This window comes from Homo sapiens, chromosome 17 (genome assembly GCF_000001405.40).
Source record: "Homo sapiens chromosome 17, GRCh38.p14 Primary Assembly".
NCBI classification, from domain to species: Eukaryota; Metazoa; Chordata; class Mammalia; order Primates; family Hominidae; genus Homo; species Homo sapiens.
The window spans coordinates 82,789,657-82,813,924 of record NC_000017.11 but is presented as its reverse complement, the minus strand read 5'-3'; the positions used below and the strand labels follow the sequence as shown (position 1 = coordinate 82,813,924).

The 24,268-nt window shown below is 55.9% G+C and overlaps 1 protein-coding gene across 17 annotated transcripts in view, besides 2 other annotated features; it reads right to left on the bottom strand.

The window, feature by feature from the left end:
- Positions 1–24,268, bottom strand: part of TBCD (tubulin folding cofactor D) — a 193,850-nt gene that overhangs the window by 131,990 nt on the left and 37,592 nt on the right. For 15 of the 17 annotated variants that reach the window (NM_005993.5, NM_001411102.1, NM_001437989.1 and 12 more), the window contains 5 exons: positions 16,123–16,168; positions 12,929–13,061; positions 7,914–8,050; positions 6,257–6,317; positions 4,143–4,217 (listed from right to left, as the gene is read on the bottom strand). In NM_005993.5, coding sequence (NP_005984.3) covers positions 4,143–4,217; positions 6,257–6,317; positions 7,914–8,050; positions 12,929–13,061; positions 16,123–16,168 — 452 coding nt within the window. Of the gene's footprint in view, positions 1–4,142; positions 4,218–6,256; positions 6,318–7,913; positions 8,051–12,928; positions 13,062–16,122; positions 16,169–18,350; positions 18,384–24,268 lie in introns of those variants that run through there. The other 2 variants (XM_011523593.3, XM_047436624.1) reach the window with 2 other exon arrangements.
- Positions 19,394–20,114: an enhancer, noted in NCBI's record as "H3K27ac-H3K4me1 hESC enhancer chr17:80751687-80752407 (GRCh37/hg19 assembly coordinates)". NCBI's record gives its function as "activates a minimal SCP1, AML or CMV promoter by ChIP-STARR-seq in naive H9 embryonic stem cells {active_cell/tissue: H9 hESC(naive)}" and the evidence as "EXISTENCE:reporter gene assay evidence [ECO:0000049][PMID:30033119]".
- Positions 23,631–24,132: an enhancer, noted in NCBI's record as "H3K4me1 hESC enhancer chr17:80747669-80748170 (GRCh37/hg19 assembly coordinates)". NCBI's record gives its function as "activates a minimal SCP1, AML or CMV promoter by ChIP-STARR-seq in naive H9 embryonic stem cells {active_cell/tissue: H9 hESC(naive)}" and the evidence as "EXISTENCE:reporter gene assay evidence [ECO:0000049][PMID:30033119]".

The window sequence follows — 24,268 nt, the reverse complement described above, 5'->3', positions numbered from 1 at the left end:
GCCTGTCCGCCCAGTGGCTGCCTCACCTCCTGCGTGCCCAGCCCAGAGAGGAGGGGCTGAGACAGACACCAGCGTCCACCAGCGGGCTCCTCAGAGCTCACTGTCACCGACAGACTCAATCACAATTAAACAAGTTCCAGACGTGTACTGTCTGCCCAGAGGCTCCGTGAGCCCCTTGCGTATTTTCACATCAGCACTTGCGTCCTTTAGGGTTTTCATTGGAGAAAGATGCTTCACACCTTTCACAAAGATTTAGTTAACATCTGAATGAACTTGACAAAACACCAAGGTTACCGTGACTTAAAAATACCAAAACAAATGCCTGTCAGACCAATGTCTACTTCTAAATCAGACACGTGTTCACTGTGGCACGGTGGCAAGGGTGGCAGGGTCCAGGGGATGCCGTCCGTCCATCCGGCTCGCCTCAGAGGCCCAGCACCACCACGGCACAGTGGAACCGGACAGGGGACCCTGTCCATGGACACCAGGGGCACAGGGAGAAGCCAAGCAGCCGGGGCGAGTTCCCGCCCTCAGATCCAAGCTTAAGGCACTCCTGGAAGCACAGGGGGGGTCTCAGAGGAGGGAAGACAACAGAAAATAGTGGAAGCTATGAGTGGGCGGATGAGCGGGAGAGGAAGAGAGAGAGAGAGAGAGGAGGCGGGTAAAGAGTGTCGCAGGTACACGGGTCTCAGATCATCAAGAGCAAGGGGAACAGCACTAATGTAAAATGACCTCAAAGATGCGTTTGGTGTTAAAGTGTGACAAGTAAGCCATTATCTGTGTAAAATGAAAGAGACAATTTTAGCCAGGTACAGGGCTCAGGTCTATAGTCCCAGCACTTTGGGAAACCGAGGCAAGAGGACTGCTTGAGGCCAGGAGTTCAAGACTAGCCTGGGCAACATAGCAAGTCCCCATCTCTACAAAAATGAAATAAAATAATTAGCCAGGTGTGGTGCTGCACACCTATAGTCCTAGCTACTCGGAGGCTGAGGCAGGAGGATCACTTGAACTTAGGAAGTAGAGGCCGCAGTGAGCTATCATGGTGCCTGAGCAACAGAGCAAGACCCCATCTCTAAAAACAAAACAGCCGGGCGCGGTGGCTCAGCCTGTCATCCCAGCACTCCGGGAGGCCGAGGCGGGCTGATCACAAGGTCAGGAGACAGAGACCCGACTGGCCAACATGGTGAAACCCCGTCTCTACTAAATACAAAAAATTAGCCAAGCGTGGTGGTGCACGCCTGTAGTCCCAGCTACTTGGGGGCTGCGGCAGGGGAATGGCTTGAACCCAGGAGGCGGAGATCGCAGTGAGCCAAGACCGCGCCACTGCACTCCAGCCTGGCGACAGAGCGAGACTCCATCTCAAAAACAAAACAAGAAAACCTCTGTATCCATCTGCTCACACCTGCATCAGTCCCCGGAGGGATGCGAAACGGGTGCCCCAGGTCACCTGCGGGGGGGCTCTGGGGTCTGGGGAGGCTGTCTTCTTCCCTTTGGTTTGACTTTTGAATGAACACATCACCCAGTCCAAAACCTCGATGAAACCGTAAAGCTCAACAGAAAGGAACCCACGTGGTGAGGCTCCTGCTGACACGGGGCGGCGGGCGAGGGGGAGGCACAGCGTAGTGCCGTGGCTTCCAGACGCTCCACACCGAGTGTCTCAGAAGATGCCCTCGGGCAAGTCAGCAGGACCCACAGCTGGGCCCGGGCACAGGTTCAGTTGGTTTGCTCACGGGAGAAACCAATGGGGTTGGCACAGACACAGACACACTCCTCTCCAAGGCACCCTGCTTCTGCCACAGCCTGGGGTCTGGCGCTACTTCCTAGGTCCAGGGTAATGCTGCAGGGCTGGTGATGGGAGTCAGGAGGGGGCCCCAGGTCCTGAGGGAGTCGTGCACGCTTGGGGGACAGCCACATCAGCCACACAGATCCTGAACCCCCTGGGGATGGGTGCAGTTCCACTCACTGCATAACCCAGCCCAGGAAAGGAGCGGGGAGTAAGTTAACCCTCCTGGGTGCTGGGTGTTCTTACAGTTAATATAATTAATGCCCTTTCTCGGACCCGTTTCAGAAGAGGCTGGCAGCTTACCACACGTCCCAGGGAAGGACAAGATTGGAGCAGCCACCATGCAGGGCTGTGGGCCGCCCCACACCCCAGCAACTCCTGGCTTCCTGGTGTCTTCAGACATCCTGCTCTGAGGCTGCACCTTTTTATGCCATGGTTGACAATCACATGCTGAGCACCCAGCGAAAGGGAAAGCAGGCGCTGTCCAGAGCCGCCTTTTTATGCCACGGTTGACAATCACACACTGAGCACCCAGGAAAAGGGAAGGCAGGCACTGACCAGAGCTGCATCCTGCGAGGACTCGGGATGATGGCCCTGCAGCTACTTTGGGATGAAGGCCCTGCGAAATCAAGAGTAAAAAGGCCACCCCGTCCCAGAACCTAGCTACAAAAATGGAATGAGCACATTAAAATAACAAAAATAAAGGTTAAAAAGCACCTGAAGATTAAACCAGCCAGGAAAAATGAAACTAGACCAAGAAGGTGAGCTAGAGTAAGGAACACACAGTCCAGAGAGGCTGCACGTTGTGGAGGGAAAGACACACAGTGAGTTTAGGAGACGCACTAGGCCTGATGAGCAGGCCGCCCAGCGGCTGGAGGAGAGAGGCAAAGTCCAGACAGGCACAGGCAGGCCCGGCCTGGAGCCCACCACACTGTTGTGAAGGCCGCAGGTGGCACCAGGCGACAGGAGGACATATGCCCACCATGACCACCAGAAAGGAGCTCCAGGGACACGCCTGAAACAAGGCTGGAGGTCGCCTACAGAGAAGCCAAGCACGTAGCACCCTCCAACCCCTGCCTCCCATCAAGCAGTTGTGGTAAAGAGCATGTTTTCTGCTAGCAATGTTTCCACTGGAAGAATATTTCTCACACATGCATGCACACTGCTCTGAAAAACATGACCCGTATCTGACACATTGTTTCCTGTGCTCCTGAAATTGTCACTGAGCAGGCTGGAGGCTAAGTGCACAAGAAATCTCCTCCAGAAGGAAAACAAGGCTTTGTGAACGGCTCCGGAGCTGTCCCTGGTGACTGACAGGCAACGCGAACTGGAGCCTCCAAAGTGCTGACAGCACAGCTTTCGCCACGGTGTCCAGGCTAATGAAGAGCAACAGCACGCCCGGGGTCCTGAGCAAGCTGGACGCCTGCTCTCGACCCTCCGCTTCTGAAACTGGGAGAGACATTTACACAAGCAAAAGGGAGAATTCCCTGGGGAGGTCACAGATCGATGCCTCACACGTGTGAGCACACCAGGGCAGGACTGCAGGCCCCAGGCTGAAATCCCAGGCCCTGCCACCCGCACATCCCAGCCCACAACTTACCACCCACAAGCCACACGGTCCCAAGACCCAGAACTCCCTGAAGGCTGACAAGAGAAATGCGGCACAGCACACGTGGCTGTCTACACTCAGTTTTGTTCTGAGACCGGGTCTCACTCTGTTGCCCAGTCTGGAGTGCAGCAGTGGCACCATCATGGCTCATGAAGCCTCAAACTCCTGGCCTCAAGTGATCCTCCCACCTCAGCCTCCCGAGTAGCTGGGACCACGTCTGGCTAATTTTTTAACTCTCTGTAGAGATGGGGTTTCGCTTCGTTGCCCAGGCTGGTCTTGAATTCACAGGCTCAAGCCGTCCTCCCACTTTGGCCTCCCAAAGCCTCACATTTCGTTAAAATGAAATCCAATTCAAACTCAGGCCTTGGTCACACCAGCCTCACTTCAAGGTCTGAGTGATACACGTGGCTAATGGGTAGGCGAGGGGTAGACCCGAACCTCCCACAGAAAGCTCTCGGAGCAGCCCCAACTCACTCAGTAGAGCTTTTCCTTTCAGAATAAACATCTACATGGGTATATGTCTAAACTGACTCTCTTTTTCCTTAAGGTTTTTAAATAGAATGGAATTGATAAAAGCAACATACCAGAAATAACAAGAGTTCTCAAGTTTAACTTCAAAAGGGGGAAAAAAGAGCTTCTGGAGTTCTGACAAACAGCTCAATGAAAAGCAAGCGTGAAAGGATATAAGGAAAGCCAGGGCTTCTCAACTCAGGGTCAGGCCCACACGCCTCCCCTGCTCTTCTCACATACCTGAAGCAGTCCAGCACAGACCCGACCACATCATCCGCCAGGGCTCTGGGAAGCCTGCCAGCCATCCTACCGATGCTGAAAGAGAAACGCAGCAATCCGTCAGGGGCACCACCAGCCTGTCGCCAAGGGCATGCGTGACACGTGTGAATGGCCTGAACACCCATCCTTTCCTCCAGAGACCAGGAGAGAAGAGGCCAACTCCAGGCAAGCCCGCACCCTGCTTGGAGCCCCCGCGCTAAAACACGCTGCAGGGTAAAGGAGCCTGCAGCCAGATTCAAAGGGGACGAGTGAGCACACGCGGCACAGGGTAGGTCACCATGTACCACTGTAACGCGGACGCTGCAGGCCACCAGTGACGGCTGAGGGTACCGAGGCAGCAGGCGAACGCTGAGGGCTTCACCCTGACCCTCCCTACTGGAGCCGGGCTTCCTCTGTGCCACCCCAAACGCTGACTGTGCAGGCACCCATCAGGCCAGGTGATGGGCTCACGGCCCCACATGGAGGCCGCCTGAGGCTGGCTCACAGGGTCCAAGTCCCTGGAGATGGCCCCGTGGGGAAGGTCCTGGCCAGGGGCCTCCAGGAAGGACACTGGGAAGGCCTGCCCAGCCTCTCACTGCGTGGGCCCATCACACCCAACCAGACGAGGCTCTGGGCTGAAAAGCCATCCCCTGCGTACAGCAACACAAAGGCCTATGTGAGCCCCTGCACAGCCCTGTGGAGCTCCTCCCAGAGATCATGGTATGGACGGACCCAGCACAGACGCATGGGAGAGCAATGGCAAAAACCAGCCTCCCCGTCCCCCAGCACCTGCTGGCCCCTCTACCTGCCTCATCCCCCAGCACCTGCCAGCCCCTGCACCTGCCTTATCCCCTCCACCTGCCTTGTCCCCTCCATAGCAGGGACCACCCTGATACCTCAGCACCTGCCAGCCCCTCCACCTGCTTCATCCCTTCCACAGCAGGGACCTCCCTGACACCTCAGCACCTGCCAGCCCCTCCACCTGCCTCGTCCCCTCCACAGCAGGGACCTCCCTGACACCTCAGCACCTGCCGGCCCCTGCACCTGCCTCATCCCCTCCACAGCAGGGGCCTCTCTGCCCCCCAGCACCTGCCAGCCCCTCCACCTGCCTTGTCCCCTCCACAGCAGGGTTCTCTCTGCCCCCCAGCACCTGCCAGCCCTTGGACCTGCCTCATCCCCTCCACAGCAGGGGCCAACCCGCCCCCCAGGACCTGCCACCCCTCCACCTGCCTCATCCCCTCCACAGCAGGGGCCTCCCCGCCCCCCAGCACCTGTCAGCCCCTCCACCTGCCTCGTCCCCTCCACAGCAGGGGCCTCCCCCCACCTCAACACCTACTGCCCCCGCACCTGCCTCATCCTCTCCACAGCAGGGGCCTCCCCCAACCCCAGCATCTGCTGGCCCCTGCACCTGCCTCATCCCCTCCACAGAAGGTACCTCCCTGACACCTCAGCACCTGCTGGCCCCTGCACCTGCCTCCTCTCCTCCACAGCAGGGGCCTCCCCGACACTTCAGCATCTTCTTCACGTGTATCGCTGTCCCTGCACAGCCCGAGCCCACAGGGCCACCGGCTCCTCCAGGCCAGGGCTCCACCTGTTGTGTTCAAGGCCAGGCCCCACTGGATCTGCCCCACGACCTCCACTGAGGCCTGGGGTGCAGGGTGCATGTCGACTCCCACAGGTATGACAGGTGCTAGTGAGGGGTGAATGAGGGACTGGCACCTGCTCACCCCACAAAAGAGGGCTCTTCCCTGAGCACCGTCATTGTAGGAGCCGTGACCCCCATCTGTGGGGAACGATAGGTGGGGGGCACAGTGATGAGGATGTGGAAAAGCAAGGGAACATTTTGAAGATAAACAGGTAAACCCGGCCTGCTCGTGACCCGGCAGGGCCAGCCAGAGGCAGGAGGACGGAGGAGACCGAAGCTCCGCCTCGGGAACCATCTTCACGCCAACACGTAAAGCAACACACATAAGTTGGAGGGGGCCGAGGAGGGGGCCGCGCTGCCACTCCAAAGCTGTTGGGTATTTGTAGCTGCTGAATCGCACAGGAGAGGCCGGCCCACCCCCCGGGGTGCTTCTGCGGCCACAGACACCTACCCCTTGGCTGCAGACCACCGCACGACCGTGTCCTTGTCCTTCAGCCCGACCAGCAGCTGCTCTGTAGGAAGAGGAAGGTGATGCGTGACAGAGTCCACACAAAGTTCCTAGTTTCCCAGCTGTAAGGTGACCCATCCTGTACGCTACTCAGTGCACACGCCGAAGGGAATTACATTAACAATATTAATTTTAATGACAGGAAAAGAACATTTCCTTCCCTCCGTTCTCAAATCATCACATACAGCCATGTTCCCAAGTTCTCTGTTCCTAAGAAAGAGATCTACCCCATTAAAGCCGGCTACAGGGAGCAGCTGCCTGCCCCCAGGGGAAGGCCAACATCAAGGGCCCCACCCAGGCCAGGGGAAGAGCCCGCAGCTCACGGGTGACCAAAGTGGGCTGGGAAGCTTCCAGAGAAAACCCCCAGCCAGCGGCTGCACGAAGACGTCTCTCCCAGGGACCAGGCCTTGGCGGCAGGCTGAACTTTTAAGAACCACACAGAAGCCTAGAGGATGCAGGGAGGGGTCAGGTCACACGGTGAGGGCCCTGCAAGCCCCAGCAAGGGTGAAGCCTTCGCCTGTGGGCACCAAGCAGCCCTGGGAAGACCCTGATGGACAAGCTCGCTGAGTGACCACAGGGGAGGGTGGAGAGACAGTCTGGAGCCAGCACAGCAGCTGGAATGCGGGCAGGGGGGACTGCCTGCAGCGGGTGGGAGACGGGAATGAACCTGGGGCAGGCTGCGGACACGGGGAAGGGGCAGACCCAGGGCCCCGCCCGGGACTCAGAGCCGCCCAGCACAGATGCGGGCGCCTACCACGCAACCAGGGAGGGCTCTGAGAAGCAAAGGTCAAGGGAAGGGCCGGAGTGGATGCTGGCTCGGGGCTGGCAACGGTGCCACAGGCGCCCTGATGGTCACGGTCGAGGTGGGGTGCAGATGACTGGGGAGAAACCTGCCCTGGAGGGAGCGGCGGGGATGTGAGCAGAGTGCAGCACAGCACAGGCAGCGTGGCCCCGCCTGCCCATCAGGAAGCTGGGAGATACTGGGAGGATGGGGGCCTCACAGGGAGGGGACATGAAGAGGCCCTGCCTGGGTCCAGGGAAGACTTCATCCAACCGCGGCAGGAGGGCAGGACAGTGTGTGGACAGGAGCCCAGGATGGCCGCCATGAGGGGCTCCGCTGATGGCTCTGTCTCTGTGCAGCAGGAGACCCCACAGGAGGAGAACAGGGCAGTGGATGGAGACCCCTGCAAGGTGTAATGTGGTTTAAGGGAGTTTGAAATGGCTCCTGAGGTAAGGAACTGAGCAGGGTTTAGGGGCCAAGGAGCCAGAGACCTGAGCCCCAGGGACCCCAACTCAATTTCCTGGGAGAACTGTTTCCTGAGGACACACCCAGCTGCCCAGAACAGGCAGCCCAGGTCAGGAAGGAGGCGAGGCGGTGGGAAAAAGGGCTTCTACGGCACACAGGAAGAGACTGTCCATGGTCAGGGACAGGCCTGGGTTCAGGAGCCAGAGGACGGGCAGTGACCGTGCACTCAGCGAAGGGGACGGGTGGCCAGACAGTGCCGGCACCAGCAAGGAAGAAGGAAGTGTGGTCCTGGAGTAGAGGGGAATTGGCCCGACGGTGCCCAAGAGCAGAGGCCGCCGCTTAGACCCCACGCACCTATCACACGCTCCACCCCCTCTGGGACGTCGTCATCTTCGTCGTCATCTTCGGTCAGGATGAGTGGCTTCTGCTCACTCTGACCCTGAGTGAGGAGCTGCAGATTTGCAGCCAAAGATCGGCAGCCACGCTGGTACCTGTGCAAAGCAAAGCATCCTCAGATCAGCTTTGTAGCTCACAGCATCCTGATGACTGGAACCAGTCATTCAGTGTCACTTTGAATCTTAAAGCGTGCCTGTGAAAATTCCATGCACTTTGCAGAGACCGGATAAGAAGGGAGAACCTGGAGGCAGTGCCATCAGCACAAACTGCCAGGAAGATCCTGGTGTGGGCCACAAAACACGCCCCGAGTCCAGAACATCCTCAGCTAGTGTCCAGCTTTGATTAGGGAAAGTCAGGAGAGAAGGCAGATGATGGGTACACAGACGACAGGACCAGCGCCTTCCCTGGGGAAGCACCCGGCCTTCGGGACCCTCTGCCTCCTGGCAGCCCCTTCCTGAACGGCCACCACTGCCACCGCCCAGGCCACACACCGCCCCTTCATCACCAGGTGCTGCGTCTCACCGGTCACCAGTTCCTACAGATCCTGCCTCCCGAATGCCCCTCAAAAGGCAGCAACGTGTAGCCCTCTTCACACCCACATGGGGAACCTGCATTGTCATCCCCTGGACACGCCATGAAGGGGCCCATGGCACAGACCCTGGGACCTGGCTCCTGGTCAGGCCTGCTCTACGCCTACTTGCTGTGTGATTCTGAACAGCTCCTGAGCCGCTCCATGCCCCCACTTCCCCCTCTATAAAATGGGAACGCAGTCCTACGCAGAGAGCTGTGTGAGGAGCCGTCAGAGTCTGCGCTCGGCGTGCAGCCCAGCCCTGCGCTGAGCAAGGCCCCCGCGTACACAGCTGCTCCTGCCAAGGGTGAGTGCAGGGCGGGCCGCCTGGCTGTGGGCCCTGCTTCCCCGGTCTCATGCAGAAAAGGTGTCCAGTGAGAGTTCAGGGCAGCTGCTGCGGCTGTAGCCTGAGACAGCCTCCCAGAGGACAAACAGCTTAGGCTTTGGCGGCAGAACCAGAACTCACACACTGGTGCTGATGCCATCAACCTGCTTCGAATGACTCATCCTAGCTCTAGCCCTCTGGGACTCAGTTTCCAAGTCTAGGAAACAAGGAGGGGGGCAGTTTCCAAGACAGCCCACGACCCCCACCGCCTAGCGTTCCTCTCACACGGGGTGTGGCCTGGGCCCAATGATTCCCTCCCAAGGAACAGAATACGCAGAGTCTGGTGAGAGCTGCCACCTTCCAAACAGCCGTGGTTTCCACCCGCCTCTCAGCCTCCAATGAAGCCAGCTACCATGCTGTGCACTGCCCTGCGGAGGGGCCCACATGGTAAGGACTTCAAACAGGTCCCCACCAACAGCCCACAAGGCACCGGGTCCCGACAGCAACCCATGAGGAGCATGGAAGCACACCCCCCAGCAATGCAGGCCTTGAGACGGCAGTGGCCAGGCCGGCGCCTTCAAGAAGCCTCAGGAGAGACCCTAACCAGGGACCCAGCTGAGCCACGTCAAGATTCCAGACCCACCAAAACTGTGAGGAAAAAGTGCACTGTTTAAGAAGCCTCAGGAGAGACCCTGACCAGGGACCCAGCTGAGCCACGTCAAGATTCCAGACCCACCAAAACTGTGAGGAAAAAGTGCACTGTTTAAGCTGCTAAATTTCGGGGTACACTGTAATGTAGGGTAACTGGTATGAAGAGAGTATCATCAGCCATCTTAGGACCGTGGCGGAGACCATCAGACACCCAGCAAGATGCCTAATGCCCCACGAGCAGGCACACCCCAGCCCCCACTCTTCCCCAACACCCCACAGGCAGGCACACCCCAGCCCCCACTCTCCCCTAAACTCTACAGGCAGGTGCACCCCAGCCCCCACTCTCCCCTAAACTCTACAGGCAGGTGCACCCCGGCCCCCACTCCCCGCTAACGCCCCACAGGCAGGTGCACCCCGGCCCCCACTCTCCCCTAACGCCCCACAGGCAGGCACACCCCAGCCCCCAGTCTCCCCTAACGTCCCACGGGCAGGTGCACCTCAGCCCCCAGTCTCCCCTAATGGCCCATGGCTGGCACACCCCAGCCCCCAGTCTCCCCTAACGCCCCACAGACCGGTGCACCCCAGCCGCCATTCTCCTCACGCAAGCGCGCAGCTCAGCCACCTCACAAAGACCAGACGGCACCACAAAGACAATGACCTCAGGCTGCTTCTACACATGCCCTCCCGACCTCAACAATGGTGAGACTCGGACGGAAGACTTAAAGCCACTGTTGGCCAGCAGGTGATGGCAACCAAGGCAGGGCAACAATCCCCAGCGAGGGGAAGCTGCAGGTGGGCCACCTCCACCTCCTCCCCGCAGGGGTACTTTCTACACCGTACCAAGGAAACAGCCCAGGAAGCAGCAATCTCAATGAGTGGAGGGCTCATATGTGGGGGAGAGGATGTTGGGGAGAAGAGAGCTGCTGAGACAGAGGCCCAAAACTCTGCCCAAAAATTCCCTTGGATCCCTGGGCACTCCAAGATAAGGAAGCACAAGGCGAGACTCAGACGCACCTGTCAGAGAATGGCTGGGAGGCCGAGTGCCGCAGAGAACTTGGAGACTGTGCAACCCTCAGAGGGCCCCGGAGACCCGGGCCCAGCAGGACGGGAGAGAAAGCCGTGACTTTCACCTAAGTCCCTGAAAGGCTACATACTTAAAGCAAGGACCATGCTGTGGAGGAAAGACCAATCCCTGGAGGAAAAGAGCTGAGAAAGACCCACCCTAACAAAGCCTCGAGCCAAGGCTGGCAGGAGGAGTGGGATGAACCAGAAATCTAACAGCCCGTCAGAGCGTAAGTCCGTCCTCATCAACAGAAGACAACCAAGAAGAGAACGGTACTAACAGAGACAACGAAAATCCAACCGAGGAGATAAAAATGGAAAAAAGTTAGAAATACAGGAAACGTAGAGAAAGACGGAAGAGAAAAACACAAGACGGGGACTAAAACCCAACCACGTTAGAATTACGTGAAGTGTATGTGGCAACACGCACATCATTATCGAGAGAACTAGGATACTGGATTATTTTCTGTACCAACATTTCAGTGCTTGTGATGCTTAACTTTACATGGCAACCTGACTGCGCCGTGGGGCGCCCCGCTATTTCATCACACCTGCTTCCAGTGCTTGTGTCAGGGGCTCTGGACCAGCATGTGAATCTGTAGACAAAGTCAGGCAGAGGACCCTGCCAAATGCAGGGGGCCTCGTTCAGCCAGCGGAAGGCCCCAGCAGAACAAAACGCCGGCCCTCCCTGAGGAGGGGGGAAGCCCTCCTGCCTGGCAATCTCTCAACTGGACTTGTTCTGTCTTCAGACTAAAACCAATCAGCTCTTCCTGGGTCTCCACCCTGAGGCCTTTGGCCAAGAACCACCATGAGCTCTCCTGGTCTCCAGCTCACAGCCTCGCCGACACACACACATCCTATGGGCTCTGCTTCTCTGGAGAACCCTGCCTGGTACAGCACTGAACATTCCCCACAGCAGCTTTGAGAAACTAGCCACGAACACTGTGCCTAATGAGCAACTTCCTACAGAGTGAGCTGCACACCCAACACTGCAACACAACACGCGTCTCTGGAATTTGCCATCATCCAGGACGGAGTGTGAGCTGACCTTAACCAAGTAATTCCTTCCCAAACCACACGTATTATAGCACTTGAAACAAACTGAAGGTCGCTAACACACAGCACCCTAAGAACACTAGAAAAGTCTGTCTCCTTGAGAACCAACCCGTTCACACCGGCCGCTACAGACTGCTAAGACATCATTTCTGCCAGCAAGAAAGGCGGTTTCACTTTCTCCAACAGTCTTTGAAAGGGAGCCTGTCATTCAGACTCATCACTGATCCGATGCAGCTTTCCCCCACAGCGCGTCCACACCAGGGAGGCCGCACCGCCTCTGAGCAACACGACGCACACACGCTGCCACGCCAGGGAGGCTGAGCTGACCCCGAGCCACACGACACACATGCCACCCTGCTGCCACGCTGACTCCGAGCCACACGACGACACACACGCCGCCCTCCTGCCACGCTGACTCCGAACCACACGACGCACACGACGCCCTCCTGCCACGCTGACTCCGAACCACACGACGCACACGCCGCCCTCCTGCCACGCTGACTCCGAGCCACACGACGATGCACACGCCGCCCTCCTGCCACGCTGACCCTGAGCCACACGATCACGCACACGTCACCCTCCTGCCACGCTGACTCCGAGCCACACAACGCACACGCCGCCCTCCTGCCACGCTGACTCCGACCCACACAACGCACACGCCGCCCTCCTGCCACGCTGACTCTGAGCCACACGACGCACACGCCACCCTCCTGCCACGCTGACCGAGCCACACGACGCACACGCCAGCCTCCTGCCACGCTGACCCTGAGCCACACGACGACACACATGCCGCCATCCTGCCACGCTGACTCCGAGCCACACGACACACACGCCGCCATCCTGCCACGCTGACTCCGAGCCACACGACGCACACGCCACCTTCCTGCCAACGCCAGCTGCAGTTCTTCCAACTGGGAGATGCAGTCAGAAAATAACCAAAAGAAAACCATTCCTCTCAAAATCAGAAACACTTCTAGGATTAAAGAAATGAATGAAAGCAGAAAACACTTGTTACTAACACATCTTCTCTGCCATCACCACTGGACACAAAAGCCACAGCACCAGCCACACCAGACGCTCACCTACGGCTCGGCCTGCCCTCCAGAGAGTGCCCCCAACTGTGTCCAGAACCAAGGCGCCTGCCTCCCCACCCCATGGCGCCTGCCTCCCCCACCCCGCAACAGGGCGACTGCCTCCCCACAGCACCTGCCCCAACAGCACCTGCCCCGCCCTCATCAATGGCGCCTGCCCCCCACAGCAACCCCTCCCCACCCCGTGGCCCTCCCCAGGCACCGCCCTCATGGTGCCTACCTCCATGCTGCCACCTTCGGCTTCAGGAATGTCAGCCCCAGTCGCTGCACAAGCTTCACCCCCAGCTTCCGCAGCAGGGTCTGGTTGCTCTCAGGGAGTCTGCAGCCATCGAGGCACCTGAGGACAGTGGCAGCTGCAAACAAGAACTGGACTCAGCGCAGGAAGGGCTGCAGGCATCTTCTGACTGCACCACCTGTGTCCCCGAAACCAACAGCCGGCTCCACAGGGGCCTTGAGGCAGGAGACATCACCAAGACCCCCATCATCCCAAATCATGAACCAAGAGCTGCTGGAGTTGAACCTACTCGACTTCCTTGCTGTGAAGCAACATCAGTGGAGGTCAGGAGAGCAAGTACTCAGAGGGCAGGGAGCCAATCTGAAGGGGGGCAGCACACACAAAGGCCCAACCGACCACAGGCACACTGCAGCCACGGAGACCCCACAGGCCACGGGCATCCTGCGGCCACAGAGACCACGCAGGCCACGGGCATGCTGTGGCCGGGGAGAACACACAGGCCACAGGGCACACTGCAGCAACCCCAGAAGCCATGGAGCACACTGCGGCTGGGGAGAACACACAGGCCACGGGGTTCCTGTGGCTTGCTCTGTTTTTCAGGGGGAATCACTCGGTGTCATGCAGTGATGACAATAGCAGGACAGGAGGCTGAGCCAAGGGGAGGCTCAAGGTAGCACTGGGCACAGCACGACAGGGAGAGCCTGCGAGCAGGAGACGCCCGGGTGCTGCGACGAGGGCAAGCTGAGGCCAGGAGGACAGCATTCCCGGGACAGACAAGGGCTGGGGTGGAAGTGCATGGCGGCTTCAGAGATGGGCTGGAAGTGAAATGGACAAGACTGCAACCAACTGACAGGGGACAGGAGAAAAGAAGAGAAGCTGAAGACAGAGCTGAGAGTTAGGTGAGGTGATGGAAGACAAGGAGATGGAGGAAGGGGCAGTGGGGCGGGGACAGAGCAGGGGGATGGGGGCTGGAGCTGCAGTGCCCTGCAGGAAGCTCTGCCTTGAGGCTGGGAAATGACAGAAAGTGAACGTTCACCAGTTTTATGTGGGTGCCGTGACCTCGGGCAGAGGTGCCGTTTAACTCATAATGCTTGCCTATAAAACCAGGTCAGCTGAAAGAGCATCTGAGTAACTTCTCAGAAGGCTCTGACAGTGGGCACAATGAGCGTGGGTGACAAGCACGACAGCCCAAGAGGGAGGTCTGTGTTCACGTCACCAAGGACGCTCCTCCCGCCGACAGGGCCTGGCAACGGCTGCTCGCGTTCTCGGGTGTGGTGAGGACATAAAGAGCCCCACCTTCCAGAGACATGTATGGAAGTACACACAGGTGAGATGGCACTGTGTGTCCCTCCTGTGCGGTGCAGGGATGAAACAGGCTGCACACGAAAACTCGCACACTCCTGAGAGAGACACGGGGCGTGCACGCCATTCTCTCTTCTTTATACATGTTTCAAATTTTCCATAATGAAAAACTTTCAAAAAAAGAAAGTTATTCAAATTTGATATTCGGATAGTTTCTTTTTTTTTTTTTTTTTTTTTTGAGACAGAGTCTTGCTCTGTCGCCAGGCTAGAGTGCTGTGGCGCGATCTCAGCTCACTGCAACCTCCAACTCCCTGGCTCAAGGGATTCTCCTGCCTCCGCCTCCCGAGTAGCTGGGATTACAGGCATGTGCCACCATGCCCAGCTAATTTTTGTATTTTTAGTAGAGATGGGGTTTCACTATGTTGGCCAGGCTGGTCTCGATCTCCTGACCTCGTGATCCACCCGCCTCAGCCTCCCAAAGCGCTGGGATTACAGGCGTGAGCCACAACGCCCAGTCCGGATAGCTTCTAAAACACACAAAGGCTCTAAGAAGTTTCTCTTTTTCCAGATGGTAAACCTCTGCGTGGAGAAAAACACTGCCCTTATTTTCAGAAATTGAGGCTCAATCTAAAATTAAGAGAATTGAGCCAGGCGTGGTGGCTCATACCTTTAAGCCCAGCACTTTGGGAGGCCAAGGCAGGGCAGATCACTTGAGCCCAGGAGTTCAAGACCAGCCTGGACAGCACAGCAAGACCCCACTGCTAAAAAAATTAGCCGGGCGTGGTAGAGCTCGCCTGTAGTCCCAGCCACTCAGGGGGCTGAGGTGGGAGGATGGCTTGAGCCCAGGAGGTCGAAGCTGCAGTGAGCTGTGTCATGTATTCCAGCCTGGGCGACACAGTAAGATGCAGTCTCAAAAAGAATAAATTAAGAGAATTAGGAAGAAGGCAAAAGAGGTGGTGGCTGTGGCTATCAGAGGAACATGGCTGCTCCTGGGCCCCAAGAAGCCAGGTCCAACCTCAGATCATGACACGGGCTTTGCCCAGACCTCCCTCACGAGACCCCTGGCAGCAATCCCTCTTTATCAAAGGACTAGGAAAGTGACAAAAAGTCCAGTTATTACGCCTGTAATCCCAGCACTTTGGGAGGCCGAGGCAGGCAGATCACTAGGTCAGCAGTTCAAGACTAGCCTGGCCAACATGGTGAAACCCCATCTCTATTAAAAATACAAAAATTAGGCCGGGCACGGTGGCTCACACCTGTAATCCCAGCACTTTGGGAAGCCGAGGCAGGTGGATCTCAAGGTCAGGAGATCGAGACCATCCTGGCTAACACGGTGAAACCCCATCTCTACTAAAAATACAAAAAATTAGCTGGGCATTGTGGCAGGCACCTGTAGTCCCAGCTACTCGGGAGGTTGATGCAGGAGAATGGCGTGAATCCAGGAGGCGGAGTTTGCAGTGAGCTGAGATAGTGCCACTGCACTCCAGCCTGGGCGACAGAGAGAAAATCCATCTCAAAAAAAAAAAAATACAAAAATTAGCTGGGCATGGTGGCAGGCACCTGTAGTCCCAGCTACTCGGGAGGCTGAGGCAGAAGAATTGCTTGAACCCAGGACGCGGAGGCTGCAGTGAGCCAAGATTGTGCCACTGCAATCCAGCCTGGGCAACAGAGGGAGACTCAGTCTCAAAAAAAAAAAAAAAAAAAAAAAAAAAAAAAAGTTCAGTTACTAAAACCCACAACAAAAAAAAGAACGATAGTGTCCAAACATACCAATGTACAGTTCCTATATCTATGAATAAAATGTTAAGGAAAGACACTTGATTGTATATGAGCAAACTCACATCACAAAGATATCGTCTCTTAAAAATAAACCTTACCATAGGGCAAACAGTCTTCACGTTTTCCATGTTTAAATATTTGTGCCTAAAAAAAAAAAAAAAGATTTTTAATGTTACAAATACAAATAGAAGTTTAAAACATACACACAAATTGTGAAAACAATTCATCACATCTTTCAGAATTTTTATTCTAAACACTCACCACCTAATAATAAAGAAAACAGTTTCTGTACATGATAAAGTAATTATAAGAGACTAGTGAAATCATCTCCCAAAAATTCATCTGAAAATAGGGATGCAATGATAAGTCCAGTCCCCTCATGGAGACTGCAGCCTCTCCACCCCTCCCTCATCAATGGCATCACAAAACGTGCCCAGGTTTAAGTTCAGGGCACTACTAGCCTGGAAAAAGAAGATATCTCAGTAGGTTTTTAAAAATTATCTGCGTATAAATAAAGTTACAAAGGATAAAAGTTACAGGCCAAACCACCTCACACAAAGGCCTCCATCTGCATTCATGCTTCACCAACAAATGAGAAGGGTGACCAGCTCAGCCCGTGTCTCACACACACACCTGGCAGCCCGGTCCCCACGATGCGCACACACGGACGTCATCACCTGGAGTCCATCAGACCAAACAGGAATATCAGATTTTCTCTCAAACACTGGTTCTAGCCCTCCTGAATTCTCAACCTGAGGTTTTACCTTCTGCTTTAAAGTCTGGAGGACAAATGCGATGATTCACATAAATATCCAAGCCTCATAATCGAAGAATCCTAGAACTGAGCCCTTCTAAGAAAACGCGAATGAATTTCCTTTCCTTCAGAAAACAGAATTTCACAGTCAAGGTGAGAACTGCATCTGTCTCAGACTATCTGCACCGCACACCACGCCACCCCTGTCCTGCTGTCGCCCACCACACGGAAAAATGAAGAAGCAGGTGCCGCCCATCAGGAGATGCTCAGACAAGGTGAAGAGGCTTTCACTAAATACTGGTGTCTTTTATTTGCATTATGAACCCTGTAAACTGCCTGATCTCTTACTTAAGTGTAGAATAGAAACATCTTCTTAAAAGGAGAGGGAACTTAGACTCTCTCCATGGAGCCCGCTGGGGGGCTCTCCTAAGCGCTGAGTGGAGAAGCAGCAAAGGCACACAGACCACCAGTCACACCTGTGGTGCAGATCCCACACCTACGATCAAAACAGGAAGGAGACAGCCAGACAGACCACCAGTCACGCCTGTGGAGCAGAGCAGGGTCTCTGCGCTCCTGTTCCTCTGTCTGTAAAATGGGGCAGTGGCAGCACCCACCTCCCTGAGCCACTCAGAATAACACATTCACCAAGGTGATCAGAGACTTAGCCCCTTTCTCTTTAGCGAAATGGATAGTAACACGTTCCCTACCAAGTGAATGGAGATGATCCTTGTTTGCCCAAAACAAGTTCTCATTTAACTTTAAGAACTCTTCCCCATCTTTAGTTTGTGTGAAATATAAAATCGAAAGTTAAATTATTTCACACCAGTCCAGATGTATCTAATTTAATATGTGTTTTAACCCTAAGTCATCGGTTTACAGAGCCAACACTTGCTGAGCAGAAACCGTGGGGCACAGGCGAGCTCCCCGCAACGGGACGCGGGGTTCGGGGGCAGTCGCAGGGCCAAGCACACACTCAAATTCCCTGGGAGGTGGGCTGACGGCCTGAAGCCCACCAGTGTGCAACGAGAAGCCGGACCGCGCCTGGGGGATAAGAAGACAAGACACTTCACAGAGAAGCTGTCACTGCAGCCGGCTGGCCAGCTCAGTGGGGAACAGAGTTTGCCAGACGGACAATCAAGGGTCCCTCACCCACCACCTTGGTAGGCTTCCAACTGCCACAACCAACAGAGGCAGGCAGGAGTGATGCCAGTGACCCCCAATCCCAGGTCAGAAGCCTGGCGGCCTCTTTCAGGGCCTCTCCAGACACCTCCCCTTGAGACACTCCCTCCGGGAAGCCGGCTGCCATGCAGGAAGAGCCAGCTTCAGTCAAGGGCCCCTGCCGCACCCAGCCCTTCAAGGCACCTGCCACGTGGTCTTCTCGGCAGAGGCCCAGGCATCAAAGGGCAGTAACAAACGGCCCCCTGCACCCCACCCTGCGAGGCCACAGAATCGATCCACGCAAGAGTGCGGCTGTCACTGATGCCACCAGCTGTGGAGTACGTTGTTCCACAACAAATGAACCTGCGAGCGGCTGAAATCTCATCCTACAGGCAAAGAGCACCACCGTATCACCTGCAGCCATGGCCACATGACCAGATTCCAACAGCAGCTGGATGGAGAACCTGGGGATGAACAGTGAAGTGCTCAACAACGAAGACCGCTACAGAGGCTGCTGGAAAACCCCAGTGGGAAAGGCCAGAACCTAAACCAGAAGAGCAGCTGTGCAGCTGTGGGCGGACGCAGGACAAAGATCCGGGAAATGACCTCTCTCAGCAACAGGCTACCGTGTTCCCCGGTCTCTCTCAGCAACAGGCTATCGTGTCCCCCGGTCTCTCTCAGCAACGGGCTAACATGTCCCCTGGTCTCTCTCGGCAACAGGCTGACGTGTCCCCCAGTCTTACTTGGCAACGGGCTAACACGTCGTCTGGTTTCTCTCACTAAATAAAAAGAATCCAAGACACTGTGAAATTCCTAGAGTGCCCTCACACATGAACGTTGTTTAGTTACTCAATTCCTATGAAGTGTAGTACAACATTCTCTACAGCAGACTAAGATACAAGTGGTGATGAGTTCTCGGGAAAGCAAGCATCATCTCTTGTAACTGGCCTGGATGCCCCACACCTGGAAAGGCCCAGCCCAGCTTCCACCGTCCCCAGCTACACACAGGAGACAGCACCAAGGCCAGGGCCCGCCACCATCTGCAGTAAGGGAGAAACCAGAACCCCACACATTTACAGGGCGAAGGGTCTTTTTCTCCTCACACTTCTCTCTACCCTGGGGACAGTTTCCAGCTGAATTACACAGGCAGCCTCCTGGGCATTCAGCACACACAGAGAAAAGCCCCAAAAGTTATCCACTTTCCCAGGCATGGGTGCAGGAGGGCAAAAGAGACGACAGGGAAGGAACGAGTCAATGAAGACAGGGCTTTGTTTCCATTTATTTCACTGAAAAGTAAGGCCATCTTCACCAGAGAAAGTGTGCAGTGTGCAGTGGCCAGTGCTCAGCGTGGCGGTGGGATGGGGTACCTGTCAGCAGGAGGACGCGGCCAGAGAGAGCGCACTCTAGTCATCAATGGTCTTGAGTGCTCATAAGCTAGGCCATAAAATGGGGGGCACAGCCCACTTTCATGGAAGCATAATGGGAACCAAATTAAAACCACCTGCTGAAAAGCATACACTAGACAGAGGTGATGACACCAGGGATTAGAGGAAAACAGCCCTGCATGGTAAATGAGGAATGACTGCAGGTCTGTTTTTGTTGTTCTAGAAACCAGCACAGCACAAGCTGCAAACAAAAGGAGTTTCTCAGCAATCATCCTAACCCGCCCCACCTTTCGATGGCTACCCACCCAAGCTGGCTTCTCTGCAACGTGCGAGCCAGCTTCCCCCCCCTGGGGCATGTTCTCCAAGCCCAGTAAATCACAGGCTGTCGAGCTACTCGGGAGCAAGCTCACCCGCTGCCAAGCAGGAGATGCTGGTTTGAGGCTCCCTTCAGGCACTGCCAAATCTAGGCCAAGAAAAGCAACTCCACCCGAGGCCCTGGGAGAAGGGCCCCCACACCACACCAGTTCAGGCTTGGCTCTGGCTGGTAACACAGGCTTCTGAGAAGCTGTGAGTGCCGGCCGGCACTGAGGCAGATGGCTGAGACCACGCTAGCTCCAGGCCAGCGGGTCACCCTGTGGCCCCACATAACCATGCCGACTCTGCAGATGAGGAGAGCGAGTCTGTTCCCCTTTCTGCCATCCCGAGTCCTGCTCCGACACCAAGAAATGGTATCTTGGGAAGCAACCAATCGCATCCGTGCCCCCGCAGGCTCAGCACACGGAGGGTAGCCGTGCCCCCGCAGGCTCAGCACACGGAGGGCAGCCATGTTCAAAGCCACTCTTGGGCATGCCACACAGAGGGGCCACAGGACAGGCACGGAAGAGGATCTTTAACACCAAAACAACCCTTTCCAGGCTGGAATGCCTTGAGAGCACAGCCCCAGGTCCGTGCCTGTGCTGCAGCGAGCCCACCAGGGCCAGGCCTTTCCTGGAGGGCAGTGAAACCCATGCTGGGCTGCACCCTGCAGGACGTGCAAAGGCTTCACTGAGGAACTCTGGTACGCTCGAGGCTCCCCTCAGCAGCAGGGCAGGAAAAGAACCTTCCCACCACACCACTACTGGAGGCCAGAAAAACCACAACGTCCAGTGCATTTGCTGGCCTGCAAAAATCAAAGCGAGGGACATCTTAAAGAGCCCCACTACCACCCCTAGAAAGAGCAGCAGTTGCCCTAGACAGGACGGGAGAGCGCTCAGAAACAGAAGAGAGCTTGTCCTCAAGGCGGGGCCTAGGGGGCACTGGTGGGGACAGGCCAGACCACTGCCTCCCCCAGGAGCGAGCAAAATGCACTCCCCTCAGGACCACCACACATTCAGAGGAAAAAAGCCATTGACGGAAGTGAAAACTTTCATTGCTGGATTGGTAAATGACTGATTAGAATCAGAGCCCCAGAGTGAAAAAATATACTGTTTCTGACAAAATAAATTTCTGACAAATTATAAAGAATTTTAAGAAAACAAATATCAAAATGAAAACTAATTTCAGGCTGGGTGTAGTGGCTCACACCTAGAATCCGAGCGCTTTGGGAGGCCAAGGCAGGAGGGTTACTTGAGCCTAAGAGTCCCAGACCAGCCCGGACAACATGGCAAGACCTCATCTCTACTAAAAGTACAAAAATTAGCCAGGTGTGGTGGCGTCCACCTGTAATCCCAGCTACTCAGGAGGCTGAGGGGGGAGGATGACTTCAGCCCGGGAGGTGGAGGTTGCAGTGAGCTGAGATCATGCCACTGACGCCAAAAAAAAAGGTAATTTCACACAAAAATGCTTCAATGATCGAAATAATCACATCTAGCTTTTATCTTTCCAGAACGAAGTGTTATTTTTCACCAAACTTTGGACTGTAAGGTAAACACTAATTACCTTCACAGGTGGGGGCCATGCAAGGCCCAGCTCCACACCCCAGCACCGACCTGGCAGCCCCTGACCTGGGTCCATGTCCTCATCCATAAACCAAGGCAACACAGCTCTCAAAGAGAGTGTGGAAAACACAAAATGATTGTGGCTTCCTACGTCTGTCATTCACAGGCATCATCCTTCACCTAATTTATCAATCTGTTCATGACAGTGTATCGCACTAGAGTCCTACATCATAGAACATTCTGGTCAATGAGGAACCACATATTGATAGTGAGCCCATAAAAGGATTTTATATATACATATATATACACATATATGTGTGTGTGTGTGTGCACACATGTATACACGTGTGTATATACATATAATTTTTTTTTTTTTTTTGGAGACGGAGTCTCGCTCTGTCACCCAGGCTGGAATGCAGTGACACAATCTCGGCTCACTGCAACCTCTGCCTCCTGGGTTCGAGCGATTCTCCTGCCTCGGCTTCCCGAGTCGCTGGGACTACAGGCGCCCGCCACCACGCCCGGCTAATTTTTGTATTTTTAGTAGAGATGGGGTTTCACCATTTTAGCCAGGATGGTCTCGATCTCTTGACCTCGTGATCCACCCGCCTCGGCCTCCCAAAGTGCTGGGATTACAGGCGTGATCCACCGTGCCCAGCTGATGATATATTTTTACTGTACCTTTTCTATGCTTAGATGTGCAAACACCACTGTGTTACAGTTCCCTGCAGTATTCAGCACAGTCAGGTGCTGTACAGGTTTGCAGCCTGGGAGCAGCGGGCCACACCACCTGGCCTGGGAGTGCAGCAGGCCGCACCACCTGGCCTGGGAGCAGCAGGCCACACCATCTATGTTTAAGTGCACGCTACGGTGTTCACACGACGACACTGCCCAACGACGCAGTTCTCAGGACTACCCTCATTGTTAGGGGACGCATGACTGTTTCATGACTCACTCAGCATTTTAAAATGTTCTCAGCAGCCCACGTAGTGACCTCACAGCCATAAACAGCCAGCAGCATTACAGTATTCCAGCTTAAACAACTCCCCCATCACTGAGCCTTCTGGCTGCTATTCCGAGCTCATTCTGCACAGCCCATCTTTGCATGACAGGGACTTATGACTGTGCTCCCGTTCAGGTGTGTGTGACCACCTCTGGGGTGTGCCCCCTGCCCAAAGGCAACAGTTCCCACAGAAGAGAGGAGCAGCGAGCCCACGCACCTTCCAAGGCCCAGCAAAAGCTCGCAAAAGTGAACCACCACAGAGGTAAGATGCTAGAAAAGAGGTTAATGATCCATGGCCGGGCACAGTGGTTCACGCCTGTAATCCCAGCACTTTGGGAGGCCGAGGCAGGCAGATCACGAGGTCAGGAGATCGAGACCATCCTGGCTAACACGGTGAAACCCCATCTCTACTAAAATACAAAAAAATTAGCCAGGCGTGGTGGAGGGTGCCTGTAGTCCCAGCTACTCAGGAGGCTGAGCCAGGAGAATGGCGTGAACCCGGGAGGCGGAGCTTGCAGTGAGCCGAGATCGCGCCACTGCACTCCAGCCAGGGCAACAGAGCGAGACTCCGTCTAAAAAAAAAAAAAAAAAAAGATGCAAGAGACACAATTCCTGCCACAGAAAGCCTGAAAACAAACCAGACAAAATAGAATTGTATGCAGCTCCCAAGCCACCAAGCAGCCCACGGGCTCAGCGGCAAAGGGAGGGCAACGGCGGCAGGGAGACCACAAAGAGCAGTGGCTTTGCAGGGACCTGAAGGGGCATTGGCCTGGGAAGCAGGGGGCTCAGGCTCCAGCGTCTGAGGTCAGAGAGGGGTCTGAGCTTCTCTGCAGTGCAGGTGGGGGTGGCACAGCTCTGAGCCCAGCAGGAGGAGGATCCACCAACCAGGAGGCCAGTGGATGTGGTTATCCACTGTGGACACCATGTGGAAGAGAAAAAAGCAGACACATAGAGGCAAGGAAGGAAGAACGGGCAGAGACAAGGACAAGGCTGTGCTGATGCCACATCTCCCCCGGACGGCGCTGCTGACATATGCTGGGGGCGGCAGGGTGCACAGGGGTCCCACGGGCTGGCCACTGAGCAGCTCTGCCAGGGCAGAAACAAGCATGAGGACGGAGAGCATGGCTGAGAGCCACCTGCCACCTGGGGAGCCCATGGAGGCCGGCGAGCCAAGCAAAGACACCAGGACACACGGGGGGATGGGGAACCCCAGGCGTGGGCCACAGCCTGAGCCCTCCTGCTTCCGAGGCCAAGATGAGGCCACCCACTACCCAGGCCACAAGCTTCCGAGGCCACGCTTTACCCAGGCCACAGGCTTCCGAGGCCACCCTTTACGCAGGCCACAGGACAGCAGGTGTGCTGCCAGGATCAAGGGCACAGAGGCAGCATGGGACAGAGTCTGGCACTCTATGAATGGATGGCTCACACCCTCCACCAGCACCTTTACTGCAGCCGACAGCCACAGGAGAGGCGGGAGGGTAGTCGGGGAGCCCAGGGCCTCCAGAGGGAACACTTCACAGAAGGAAATGGCTCCCACCTGGACCAGGCGGCAGAGCGGGACAGACTCAGGATGACGTGAAGCACAGAGCCACGTGCTGGGACAAGGACCCCCAGGACAGGGTGGCGGCGCAGCCACATGAGAACAGATGAGCAATGAACCAGGAAGGAGACATGTCAGAGCCACGTCCACACAGGCAGGTGTGAGCGGACAGCGGGAGGGAACACGGCGTCTCGGGGATGAGCCCGGCTCCTGGGCCGTATGCACGGACAGCAGCACAGAAGCTCCCATTTGTTGCTGGGCTCCCGGGTAAACAGGCCAGGAGGGGAAAGTGATGGTACAACAGGTGTGACCTGGGACTTGCGGGTTCTGAAGTGTCACACGTGTACCCAACGGGTCCACAGAAGGAGGGCTCGAGAACCAAGGACAGAAATCAGGTAATAAAGGTCAAGGGTGAATCAGAGCTGAGATATCAACAGCCAGGACCAAAGCCTGAGGGACATCTGCCTTAGAGGGAAGGTGCCTCTAAG